Genomic DNA, 12,405 nt, shown 5'->3' on the forward strand with positions numbered 1-12,405 from the left:
AATTTTTGTACTTTTAGTAGAGACGGGGTTTCACCACGTTGGTCAGACTGGTCTCGAATTCCTGACTTCGTGATCCACCCACCTCGGCCTCCCGAAGTACTGGGATTACAGGCATGAGCCACCGAGCCCAGCCTTAAACATCTAATTTGTACCAAATTGCCCTATAATTCTACCTAGAATATTATAGCAAAATGCCAGAAGCCTGACTAAAATCTTTTAAAGAAACCCAACTCGGCCAGGCGTGGTGGCTCACACCTGTAATCCCAGCACTTTGGGAGGCCGAGGCGGGTGGATCACGAGGTCAGGAGATCGAGATAGTCCTGGCTAACACGGTGAAACCCCGTCTCTACTAAAAATACAAAAAAGTAGCCGGGCGTGGTTGCAGGCGCCTGTAGTTTCAGCTACTCGGGAGGCTGAGGCAGGAGAATGGCCTGAACCCGGGAGGTGGAGCTTGCAGTAAGCCGAGATCGCCCACTGCACTCCAGCCTGGCGACAGAGTGAGCCTCCGTCTCAAAAAAAAAAAAAAGAAAAAGAAAAAAGAAAACAAAAAGAAACCCAGCTCTCCCAGGGTGGGGGGCATTACACAGGGGAGCCCCTCCGGGTGTCGCCGCAGCTGAATGATTGCGTTGGTGGAACAGCTGGCCCGCTTGTGCGTGGGCCAGGACACGGTGGACCTGTTCCGCCTGCGTTCTTGCCGGTCCATGTTTGGATTAGCATGTGAGTTTAAACATAGTGCTGATGCGGCGATTCTTCTAGAAGCACATCCTTCTCTGAGCTGAATTGCTTCATCACACACTTCCTTCTGGCTTGGGGAGTTCCTTTTCATCAAAGGCCAAGCCTTGTGTGTTTCGGTCCTGCCCATCTCCGTGCGGCCTGCGGGACGTTGGTTGGCGTGGAGTCTTCACAGCCGGCTGTCCAGGCTGGCAGCTCTCCCATCAGGGCTTCTCACAGCCACCGTCTGTCTGAGCAGACGCTGAGCATCGTGTCATCCCTCGGACACACACAAGACTCCACTATTCCCTGTGCTGATTTCTGTTTCTGTTACAGCTTCTGCTTCTGATTTTATTTTTTTTTTCTTTGAGATGGGAGTCTCGCTCTGTAGCCCAGGCTGGAGTGCAATGACATGATCTTGGGTCACTGCAACCTCCACCTCTCAGGTTCAAGCAGTTCTCCTGCCTCAGCCTCTGGAGTAGCTGGGATTACAGGTGCGCACCACCAAGCCTGGATAATTTTGCATGTTTCTGTAGAGACGAGGTTCCACCATGTTTCCAAGGCTGTTCTCAAACTCCTGGCCTCGGCCGGGCGCGGTGGCTCACGCCTGTAATCCCAGCACTTTGGGAGGCTGAAGTGGGCGGATCACCTGAGGTCAGGAGTTCGAGACCAGCCTGGCCAATATGGTGAAACCCCGTCTCTACTAAAAAAGAAAAAAAAATTAGCCTGGCTTGGTGGTGCGCCCCTGTAGTCCCAGCTACTCGGGAGGCTGAGGCAGAAGAATCACTTGAACCTGCGAGACGGAGGTTGCAGTGAGCCAAGATCACGCCACTGCACTCCAGGCTGGGCGACAGAGCAAGACTCTGTCACAAAAAACAAACAAACAAACAAACAAAAAAACCTCCTGACCTCAGGTGATCCACCCGACTCGACCTCCCAAAGTGTTGAGATTACGGGCGTGAGCCACTGCGCCCGGCCCTGTTGCTGCTTTTAGAAGTGGCTTTTTCTTCCTGTGCGACATTACTTTTTAGTGGGTCAGCGCAGAAATGTGCTTGGGCTCCCTGCGACGGCGAAGCACCTTTCCTCAAGGGAATCTGAAGACTTTTCCCTGCCTTTCCTCTCCCTCGGGGAGGTCCCCTCAGCGCCCTCCTCTTGACCTTCCCTGGTGCGTTTAGTGCTGAGCCTGTGCCTGAGCCTGGGGACCTGGGAGAGTTCGGACCGAAGTCCACCGAGGGCCGCAGAACGGCAGGGTTGGGGAACTGGCTCCCTGGCGCGCACAGCTCTGTCTGCAGGGCGCGGATCTGCGCTCGGTGTGAGGAGGCACGGTGCATGTTAAGTCGAGAAACTTCTAAACTCCGCCACCAGCTTTGGAAATAACAGCTGGGATTTTCTGCTTAAACCAGCATCCCAGAGCACACGGGTACTAACTAGCAGAAGCCCTAAGTAAAATGAAACGGGCTCTGAAGGAAGTCCTGGAGCCTCCTGCCCGCCTGCCCTCGCCATTCATTCAGTCCTGCAGTGACTCTGAGGAATGGCGTGGGCGGGAGGACAAGTCACCTTTAAAGCCAAGCACCCGGTGGGCGCAGAGGGTCCCGCCTGGAATCCCAGCACTTCGGGAGGCTGATGCGGGCGGATCACGAGGTCAGGAGTTCGAGACCAGCCTGGCCAAAATGGTGAAACCCCGTCTCTACTAAAAATACAAAAAATTGCCTGAGCGCGGTGGCTCACGCCTGGAATCGCAGCACTTTGGTAGGCCGAGGCAGGCAGATCACAAGGTCAGGAGTTCGAGACCAGCCTGGCCAACGTGGTGAAACCCCATCTCTACTAAAAATATAAAAAAATTGGCTGAGCGTGGTGGCGCGTGCCTGTAATCCCAGCAACTCGGGAGGCCGAGGCAGGAGAATCGCTTGAACCCGGGAGGCGGAGGTTGCAGTGAGCCGAGATGGCGCCACCGCACTCCAGCCTGGACGACAGAGTGAGACTCTGTCTCAAAAATAAATAAATAAATAAATAAATAATGCAGATATCTTTAGAAATATAAAATAGTATCCTAGGGGCCAGGCACAGTGGCTCACACCTGTAATCCCAGCACTTTGAGAGCCCGAGGTGAGAGGATTGCTTGAGGCTGGGAGTTGAAGACCAGCCTGGGCAACAGAGCAAGACCCCCGTCTTTACGAAAAATTAAAAAATTAGCCAGGTGTGGCCGGGCATGGTGGGTCACGCCTGTAATCCCAGCACTTTGGAGGCCGAGGCAGGAGAATCACAAGGTCAGGAGATCAAGACCATCCCAGCTAACACGGTAAAACCCCCTCTCTACTAAAAATACAAAAACTTAGGCGGGCGTGGTGGCGGGCGCCTGTAGTCCCAGCTACTCGGGAGGCTGAGCCAGGAGAATGGCGTGAACCCGGGAGGCGGAGCTTGCAGTGAGCCGAGATCGCGCCACTGCACTCCAGCCTGGGCGACAGAGCGAGACTCCAGCTCAAAAAAAAAAAAAAAAAAAAAAAAAAAAATTAGCCAGGTGGGCTGATATGCCCAGCTACTCAGGAGGCTGAGACAGGAAGATCACTTGAGGCCAGGAGTTCGAGACCAGCCTGGGCAACAGTTTGAGACCCGCCGCAGCCTCTACCAAAAAAAAAAATAATAATATTCTAGTTTACAAGCATGCTACAGTTACAAACTCTTCCTTGGTAAGATTTTCCTCCCCAGAGCGCTGTTGTCAGACTCCTGGAGCTGCTGAGGCCCTGCAAGCTGGGTAGACAAGGGAGGCAGGCCGGGCCAGGTGAGCTCCCCTGCACCCCTCCCCGCCCCCGCCCTGCCTTTCCTGTGTTTCTCTGGACCCTAACGCTGCGAGACACAGACGGATAGACCATCAGGACCTCAGGAGCCGCCTGAGTCTCCTCCCAACCCCGAGCTCTGAGGAGGGTGGATGGTTTTCTTCACGGCCACTAGGTGGTGGAAGTCTCCCAACTGTGCAGACATCTGCGGGGCTGGTGGGTTGGCGAGCTGTGGGGGAGGGTGCCCTGGTCAGACTGTGTCCTTGGGGGCTGGGCGGTCGCACCCGGGAGCTTCGCCAATGTGCTAGTTTGAATGAACTCCCAATGCAAAAATGGCAAACAGAGGCCGTGGAGAAACCTGGCTTCCTCCGACAATGGGAATTTCACTCTGTTCTCGTTACCGCCTGTGGATGAATGTGGGTCTCGGAGGGCGCCTCTCCCTCCGGGGAGAGGGTGACCTTGCCACAGTGGGACTCCATTCCAGCGGCAGCTCCCTCCCCTGTCTGTAGCCCCACGGCCTCCTGGCCGCCTGCCTTCTTATTGGCCACCCCTCCCCTCTCAACGACCTGTTTCCTAATCATGCCATTCCCCCGCGGGAGAGCCGATTCATCACCATTTAAAATGGTGAATCGATAAAGCCGGTCAGGCCGGGCGAGGTGGCTCACGTCTGTAATCCCAGCACTTTGGGAGGCTGAGACAGGCGGATCACCTGAGGTCAGGAGTTTGAGGCCAGCCTGGCCAACATGGTGAAACCCCGTCTCTACTAAAAATACAAAAATTAGCTGGGCATGGTAGCGGGCGCCTGTAATCCCAGCTACTCAGGAGGCCGAGGCAGAACACTAACTTGAACCTGGGAGGCGGACGTTGCAGTGAGCCGAGATCGCGCCACTGCACTCCAGCCTGGGCGACAGAGTGAGAGTGCATGTCAAAAAAAAAAGAAAGAAAGAAAAAGAAAAAGCCAGTCAGATCTAGAGAGGGCGACCGGAGCATCACCCCCAGACGGCTTGACTCTGAGCTCCTGACCTCAGCCTTCAGACAGAGGCTCTCCCAACACACACACACATAGACACGTGCGCACACACACACACACACACACACACACACCCCGCACCAGCAAACGCTGTCTGCTCTGAAGCAGGCACTGTGTAGTCTGATATGTCCCCGGGGAAGGAGGGTGGCCAAGCACAGACAGCTCCCGAGAGAGCCTGAGGAGAGAGCTGCCCAGCACCTCAGGATGGAGAAAGTGCTAGAGAGGCCCTTGGCTTCCCTGCATCCCACGGAGATAACAGCAGGTACAGGGAGTGAGGTTCGAGAGCAGTGAGTGTAAACCATAAGGCTCTGCCTGGGCAATACATGGTCCTTTCTCTCTTTTTTTTCCCTCCCTTCCTTCCTTCCCTCCCTCCCTCCTTCCTTCCTTTTTTTTTTTTTTTTTTGAGATGGAGTTTCACTCTGTCACCCATGCTGGAGTGCAGTGGTACAATCTCAGCTCACCGCAACCTCCGCCTCCCAGGTTCAAGCGATTCTCCTGCCTCAGCCTCCCGAGTATCTGGGATTACAGGCACGTGCCACCACGCCTGGGTAATTTTTGTACTTTTAGTAGAGATGAGGTTTCGCCATGTTGGCCAGGCTGGTCTCGAACTCCTGACCTTAGGTGATCCGCCTGCCTCGGCCTCCCAAAGTGCTGGGATTACAGGCATGAGCCGCTGCACCCAGCCTCATTCTTTCTTTTTTCTTTTAGAGTTCGGGTCTCACTCTGTCACCCAGGCTGGAGTGCAGTGGTGGGATCACAGCTCACTGCAGCCTCAACCTCCTGGGCTCAAGTGATCCTCCCACCTCAGTCTCCCAAGTAGCTGGGACTCCTGGTGCCCACTACTATGCCTTTTTGTAGAGGCAGGTTCTCGGTACATTGCCCAGGCTGGTCTTAAACTCCTGGGCTCAAGCAGTCCTCCTACCTCAGTTTCCCAAAGTGCTGGGAATACAGTCATGAGGCACCACACGCAGCCACCTACTCATTCTAAGACCATTCCTTCCCTGTGGTGGTGTTTATGAAATTGGAGTGTTAGGGGCGGGGCACGGTGGCTCACGCCTGTAATCCCAGCACTTTGGAAGGCCAAGGCAGGTGGATCATTCGAGGCCAGGAGTTCGAGGCCAGCCTGGCCAACATGGCAAAGCCCCGTCTCCTTTAAAAAATACAAAAATTAACCAGGCTTGGTGGTGCGTGCCTGTACTCCCAGCTACTCAGGAGGCTGAGGCACGAGAATCGCTTCAACCCAGGAAGCGGAGATTGCAGCGAGTTAAGATCGCACCCCTACACTCCAGCCTGGGTAACAGAGTGAGACTCTGTCAGAAAGAAAGAAAGAAAGAGAGAGAGAGGGAGGGAGGGAGGGAGGGAAAGAAAGAGAGAGAGAGAAAGATAGAAAGAAAGGAAGGAAGGAAAAGAAAGAGAGAGAGAAAGAAAGAAAGAATGAAAGAAAGGAAGGAAGGAAAGAAGGAAGGAAGGGAAAGAAAGAGAGAAAGAAAGGAAGGAAGGAAGGAAGGAAGGAAAAGAAAGAGAGAGAAAGAAAGGAAGGAAGGGAAAGAAAGAGAGAGAGAAAGAAAGAAAGGAAGGAAGGGAAAGAGAGAGAAAGAAAGAAAGGAAGGAAGGAAGGGAAAGAAAGAGAGAAAGCAAGCAAGCAAGCAAGCAAGCAAGAAAGAAAGAAAGAAAGAAAGAAAGAAAGAAAGAAAGAAAGAAAGAAAGAAAATTGGAGTGTTTCACAGCCCAGGGTCATTAATTTGGCCACCTGTCCCCTGGAAATCCGTAACTAAGTGACACCTTAGAATGAAAGAAACGCCTCATGGTGTGCACAGTGACCCATTGGCTTCAGGGCACTTTGCTCACAAAACACCCCTCCCCAAATAGAAGACTCTCCTGGGCAAGGTAACTCATCCCAGCTGGTGGCACAGGGCAGGACAGGGTTCAGTTGCTCCTGGCAGAGGCTGAGGGAACAGGGCCGGGGGAGGCCCCTGCTGTCCTTGTCTGAAGAGCCAGGATCTGCATAGCTCCCCACCCTCAGCCACCCCACCCTGGCTTCCCTGGGCCCCTTCTGAGATGCAGAGATGCGTTCTGGGATTGGCCACCATCCACCCCCAAGCCCAGACCATGGCACCATGCCCCAGGCTGCCTGCGGCCCTCTTCTTGACAGACTCGCAGTCAGGTCCCTGCAGCCTCCTTGGTGCTGACAAATGGCCCCCAGGAGGGTCCCTGGCCACTGCCCCAGAACCCACCATGGGCCCCGCGTCCTGGCCGCTGGCCAGCTCTGTCATTTATGTCCTTCTTGACCTTCGTGGGAGCGCCCAGGCTGCTCCATTCTGTCCTGAAACCTACACCAATGCAGAACGTCACTGTGGTTGGCAAAGTCACTCTGTTTGCTTCAGGTGGGCACCGCAGGCAGGGCTGAGGGCTGTGGCTGCCGTGTTGCCGGCAAAGGAGAAAAACCCGCAATTTGTTCAGACGAGCTCCTTTGCTTAAGGCTCTGGGGAGCATCTTTTCTGGTTATTTTCAGCTTTCTGCTCCTTTTGAGGAAGTTCAAGGGATCAGCTCCTGTCCCCACCCCCTGACTCCAGGGGTCAGACTGTGTCAGTGTTCTGGGGGTCCCTCTTAAGGAGGCACCCCAAATCTGGAAGAACCTCTGGGCTCCTAGAAAGATGAAGACACGTAGAGCTGTGCCCATCACTGGGCAGTTTCCATCAGAGAGGGCTTTGGGGCTTCGGAGCACGGGTCCCTCCCCAGGCCCTGTCCTCCAGAAGGATTTGGATGGGGTCATCGGAGAGAGAGAGCTCGTCCTACATGGCAGCAAGTGGCTCTTTTCACAAACTGTCCCTGCCCCTAGCTGGGCATAGTGGCACGCACCTGTAGTCCCAGCTACTGGGGAGGCTGAGATGGGAGGATCACTTGAGCCCAGGGTCTCGATCAAGGCTGCAGTGAGCTATGATCGCACCACCACATTCCAACCTGGGGGATAGAGTGAGACCCTGTCTCAAAAACAACAACAACAACAAAACAACAAAAACCAGTCTCTAGCCAGGCACAGGGGCTTACACCTGTGTAATCCCAGCACTTTGGGAGGCCAAGGTGGGTGGATCATCTGAGGTCAGGAGTTCAAGACCAGCCTGGACAAGATGGCAAAATCCCATCTCTACTAAAAATAGAAAAATTAGCCGGGCATGGTGGCAGGCACCTGTATCCCAGCTACTCGGGAGGCTGAGGCAGGAGAATCGCTTGAACCTGGGAGGCGGAGGTTGTGATGAGCTGAGATCATGCCACTGCACTCCAGCCTGGGCGACAGAGTGAGCCTTTATCTCAAAAAAAAAAAAAAAAAAAAAGAAAAGAAAAGAAAAGAAAAGAAAGATCACCTGTAACTGCCAGTGCCAGAGCTAACCTGGGGTTAACACTGCTGTGTGTTTCCTTCTGGTGACTTTTCTAACAGAGAGAGCCTGTTAGGAGCTGATTTATTCACATTAGTATGTAGCCCCACAATGATTGTGTGTTCTCCCTGCGTTACTAATGGGAATCTTTTTTTTCCAATCCCAAAATTGGAATCCATTGTCTGACAACACATTTGTGTGTTGGACAAAAGAGGCTGCCTGGAAAGGGTGCATGCTGAGTGATAGGAATGCAGGAGGTACTTGAGAGGCTTGAAACAGGCCGGGCGCAGTGGCTCACACCTGTAATCCCAGCACTTTGGGAGGCCGAGGCGGGCAGATCACGAGGTCAGGAGATTGAGACCATCCTGGCTAACACGGTGAAACCCCGTCTTTACTAAAAAATACAAAAAAATCAGCCGGGCGTGGTGGCAGGCGCCTGTAGTCCCAGCTACTCAGGAGGCTGAGACAGGAGAATGGCATGAACCTGGGAGGCGGAGCTTACAGTGAGCCGAGATTGCGCCACTGCACTCTACCTGGGCGACAGAGCAAGACTCTGTCTCAAAAAAAAAAAAAAAAAAAAAAAATTAGGTGTGGTGGCAGGTGCCATTAGTCCCAGCTACTCAGGAGGCTGAGGCAGAAGAATCGCCTGAGCCCGGGAGGCAGAGGTTGCAGTGAGCCAAGATCACGCCACTGCACTCCAGCCTGGCAACAGAGCAAGACTATCTCAAAAATAAATAAATAAATAAAAATAAAAATAAAGTCTGGAGACCACAGAGCAGGGTGTCTGAATGCAAGACCATGCCCACCCTGCTGGCAAGCATGGAGGACGGCGTGGAGCCAGGGTGGCATGTTCACTTGCATGCATGTGTGCACATGTGTGTAGACGTGTGTGATTCCTGGGCACGCAGTGTTGGAAAGATCACTGGCCTTTGTCCCAGACCAGGATTCCAGCCTGGGCTCTAAGTGGCCGTGTGGCTGCGGATGGATGGATGCAGAAGCCAAGCAGGCTATATCCTGCATTAATGTGGCCATTGAGCTAATGTCCGTGGAGTCATCATAGGTCCTGATCATTGGAGACATTGGATTTTTTATTTGTTTATTATTATTTATTTATTTATTTATTTATTTTTGAGATGGAGTTTTGCTCTTGTCCCCCAGGCCGGAGAGCAATGGTGCGATCTCAGCTCACTGCAACCTCCACTTCCCAGGTTGTCACCCAGGCTGGAATGCAGTGGCATGATCATAGTTCACTGCAGCCTCAACCTCCTGGGCCAGCAATCCTCCACCTCTGCCTCCTGAGTAGCTGGGACTACAGGTGTGCACCACCACCCCCGGCTAATTTTTAAAAATTTTTTAGAGACAGGGCATCTCCCTATGTTGCTGAGGTTGGTCTTGCACTCCTGGCCTCCAGCAATCCTCCTACCTTGGCCTCCCAAAGTGCTGGGATTAACAGGCTTGAGCCACTGCACCAAGCCCTGCCAATGTATGTTTTAAAGGGCATACTGTATTGTTCCTTCACACCCTATTCCTGCCTGGTGGGGTGCTTCCTCTCTCTGGCCACCCTGCGGTTTGTCCCGAATCTTCCCTCCTGCACAGGTGGGGAAGCCCTTCAAGGTCCACTCCACAGTTTTCTTGAGCGTGGGACACTTTACGATCCACAGATATTTGACAGGACCCGTGAATGGAAGGAAATAAAAGATTTTTCGTTCATTTTTGCAGACACAGTCACAGGATCCCAGAGGATGTATTTAGAATATGACATCTAAATATAATTTTCTCCTGGGTTGTTCAGAAAATTCCCATCATCTGCCATGCAGAACTGTGTAAAACCATTTTGCTCATGCAAACTCTGAACTCACTATTCTCACAGCCTCCCAAAGCCTGACCCTATCAGGCGCTCCCCTGTCTTTTTGACCAAGATTGCTTGTTTGATTTTGAACACAGTCATTTCCCAGGGAACCTGGCGATTTTCTGTCTCTTCCATTTAGGCCAACACCTTCCTTACTGCAGAAATAGGCCTTGGGGGCTCTTGCTTCCCTGTGAGTTCCCCGCCGTGCTCCGCAGCTACACTGTGTTTATTTTTTATTTATTTATTTTTTTGAGATGGAGTCTCTCACTCTGTTGCCCAGGCTGGAGTGCAGTGGCATGACCTCGGCTCACCACAACCTCCGGCTCCCAGGTTCAAGTGATTCTTCGGCCTTAGCCTCCCGAGTAGCTGGGATTACAGGTGCACACCACCATCCCCAGCTGATTTTCATATTTTTACTAGAGACAGGGTTTTACTATATTGGCCAGCCTGGTCTCGAATTCCTGACCTCAAGTGATCCGCTCACCTCGGCCTCCCAAAGTGCTGGGATTATAGGCATGAACCACAGTGCCCGGCCAGCTTCACTGTGTTAGCTAAGTCTTCAGGGACCCCCTCCCGTCATTGCTGTATTCCTTCTTAGCGGTTAGCAACTCAAATACACAGCCTACTGCCCCCTGACAAGGAAAGTGTGTGAACCAGGAAGACAGCCGTGGCTCCTCTGTCCTGTGTTCAAGTCCCCAAGACGACCAAGAGGAAGAGGAGGTGGCAAAGTGACAAGAGCAAAAGCACCAATACTAAGAATCTGGCCATTTCTGGATATCAAGCAGTAAACAGTTCAAAAGCTTCAAGTGCAGACCAGGTATGACGGCTCACACCTGTAATTTCAGCACTTTGGTGGCTGAGGCGGGAGGATCACTTGAGGCTAGAAGTTTGAGACCAGCCTGGGCAACATAGCGATACCTCATCTCTACAAAAAATACAAAAATTAGCCGGGCATGGTGGTGCACACCTGTAGTCTCAGCTACTCAGGAGGCAGAGGTGGGAGGATTGCTTCAGCCAAAGATTTCGAGGCTGGAGTGAGCTGTGATTGCACCACAGCACTGCAGCCTGGGTGACATAATGAGACTCTGTCTTTTTTTTTTGGAGCTAAGAGTTTGGGTCTGTCGCCTATGCTGGGATACAGTGACATGATCTCAGCTCACTGCAACCTCTGCCTCCTGGGTTCAAGTGATTCTCCTGCCTCATTTTTCCGAGTACCTGGGACTATAGGTATGTACCACCACGCCCGGCTAATTTTTTTGTATTTTTGCAATTTTAGTAGAGACAGAGTTTCACCATGTTGGCCAGGTTGGTCTCGAACCCCTGACCTCAAGGAATTCACCCACCTCAGCCTCCCAAAGTGCTGGGATAACAGGTGTGAGCTACTGTGCTTGACCAATAAAGCCTTTTTTTTTTTTTTTTTTGAGACAGGTTCTCACTCTGTCACCCAGGCTGGAGTACAATGGCTCGATCCTAGCTCACTGCAACCTCCACCTCCTGGGTCTAAGCGATTCTCATGCCTCAGCCTCCCAAGTAGCTGGGACTACAGGCGTGCGCCACCATACCCGGCTAATTTTTGTATTTTTAGGAGAGGAGGGGTTTCGCCATGTTGGCCAGGCTGGTCTCGAATTCCTGAGTTCGCGTGATCCACCAGCCTCGGCTTCCCAAAGTGCTGGGATCATAGGTGTGAGCCACCGCGCCAGGCCTAAATAAAGCCATTTTGAAAAGAGAGAGTGAGAAGTAAACGAACACACTTCCTGGCCTTGGTCCTGCTTGGAGAGGATTATCCTAGACCCGGTGGAGCAGGGCCCCCCGCCAAATCCATTAAGTCAGCAGATGCTGCTGCGTTCCAGCCTTTCCCCGGGAGGAGGAGCCGGGGGCCGCTGCGAAACTGATCACGCAGATCCGGGTGGGCGGCCTGGAGCCCTTGAGCTACAGGGCCTGGGTGCTTCCCCGCCATGACCGTGGCCAAGGCCCGCCTGAGTGGTGGGGGCCGAGTCAGCTGCAGCCATGATAACAGCTGCTCCCAGGAGGCCCCGTCTCCCGGACAGCCACAGTATCTATCCGACAGTTCCCGTTCTGTGGGGCCCAGGCCGGATCGATGCAGACAGTCCATCTCATTTATCGCTCCCTTAAGTACCACCCAGCAGGGCCTCCTGGGAGCCCGCTGGCCACAAGCCCTGCAGGTCACAGCCGTGGCAAATCCAGACCTCGCCCTGAACCGCAAGGAGAAAACACACTCAGCCTAAGCCCCTGCCCCTCTGGCCACGCGGCTCCCTTGTCACCGTCGAGGAAGTGTGCCCAGAAGGAGCGGCCAGGGCTTTCCTTCCTCATCTCCTGCCCAGAGCAGCCCCTTCCAGGCCACAGGCTTAGGGCCTTAGCCTGCAGGCCGAGGGCAGGCCCAGGGACACAGTGAGGGGCCTGGGCTATTTGAACAGCAGGGAGAATTTCCCATGCAGCATCGCAGAGGTAAGAGGCTCGATTCTTAGGGCTTCTTTCCAGTATTGAGGAGCTCAAGACCTGTGTCCACTCTGATTTGGTAAATCAGGGTTCTTTGAAGTCACGATAAAAATGCAGAGCCAGGCACTTTGGGAGGCCAAGGCAGGTGGATCACTTGAGCATGCTTGTAGCCCTAGCTACTCAGGAGGCTGAGAAAGGAGAATTGCTTGA

The 12,405-nt window shown here is 53.3% G+C and overlaps 2 annotated features.

Annotated features, from left to right (window-relative positions):
- Positions 3,511 to 3,805: an enhancer, noted in NCBI's record as "tiled region #13937; K562 Activating DNase unmatched - State 4:PromP". NCBI's record gives its function as "activates a minimal TATA promoter and a strong SV40 promoter by Sharpr-MPRA in K562 cells {active_cell/tissue: K562}" and the evidence as "EXISTENCE:reporter gene assay evidence [ECO:0000049][PMID:27701403]".
- Positions 4,279 to 4,368: an enhancer, noted in NCBI's record as "active region_25575". NCBI's record gives its function as "activates an Ori minimal core promoter by ATAC-STARR-seq in GM12878 lymphoblastoid cells {active_cell/tissue: GM12878}" and the evidence as "EXISTENCE:reporter gene assay evidence [ECO:0000049][PMID:35858748]".

Source organism: Homo sapiens, chromosome 7 (assembly GCF_000001405.40).
Source record: "Homo sapiens chromosome 7, GRCh38.p14 Primary Assembly".
NCBI lineage: Eukaryota > Metazoa > Chordata > Mammalia > Primates > Hominidae > Homo > Homo sapiens.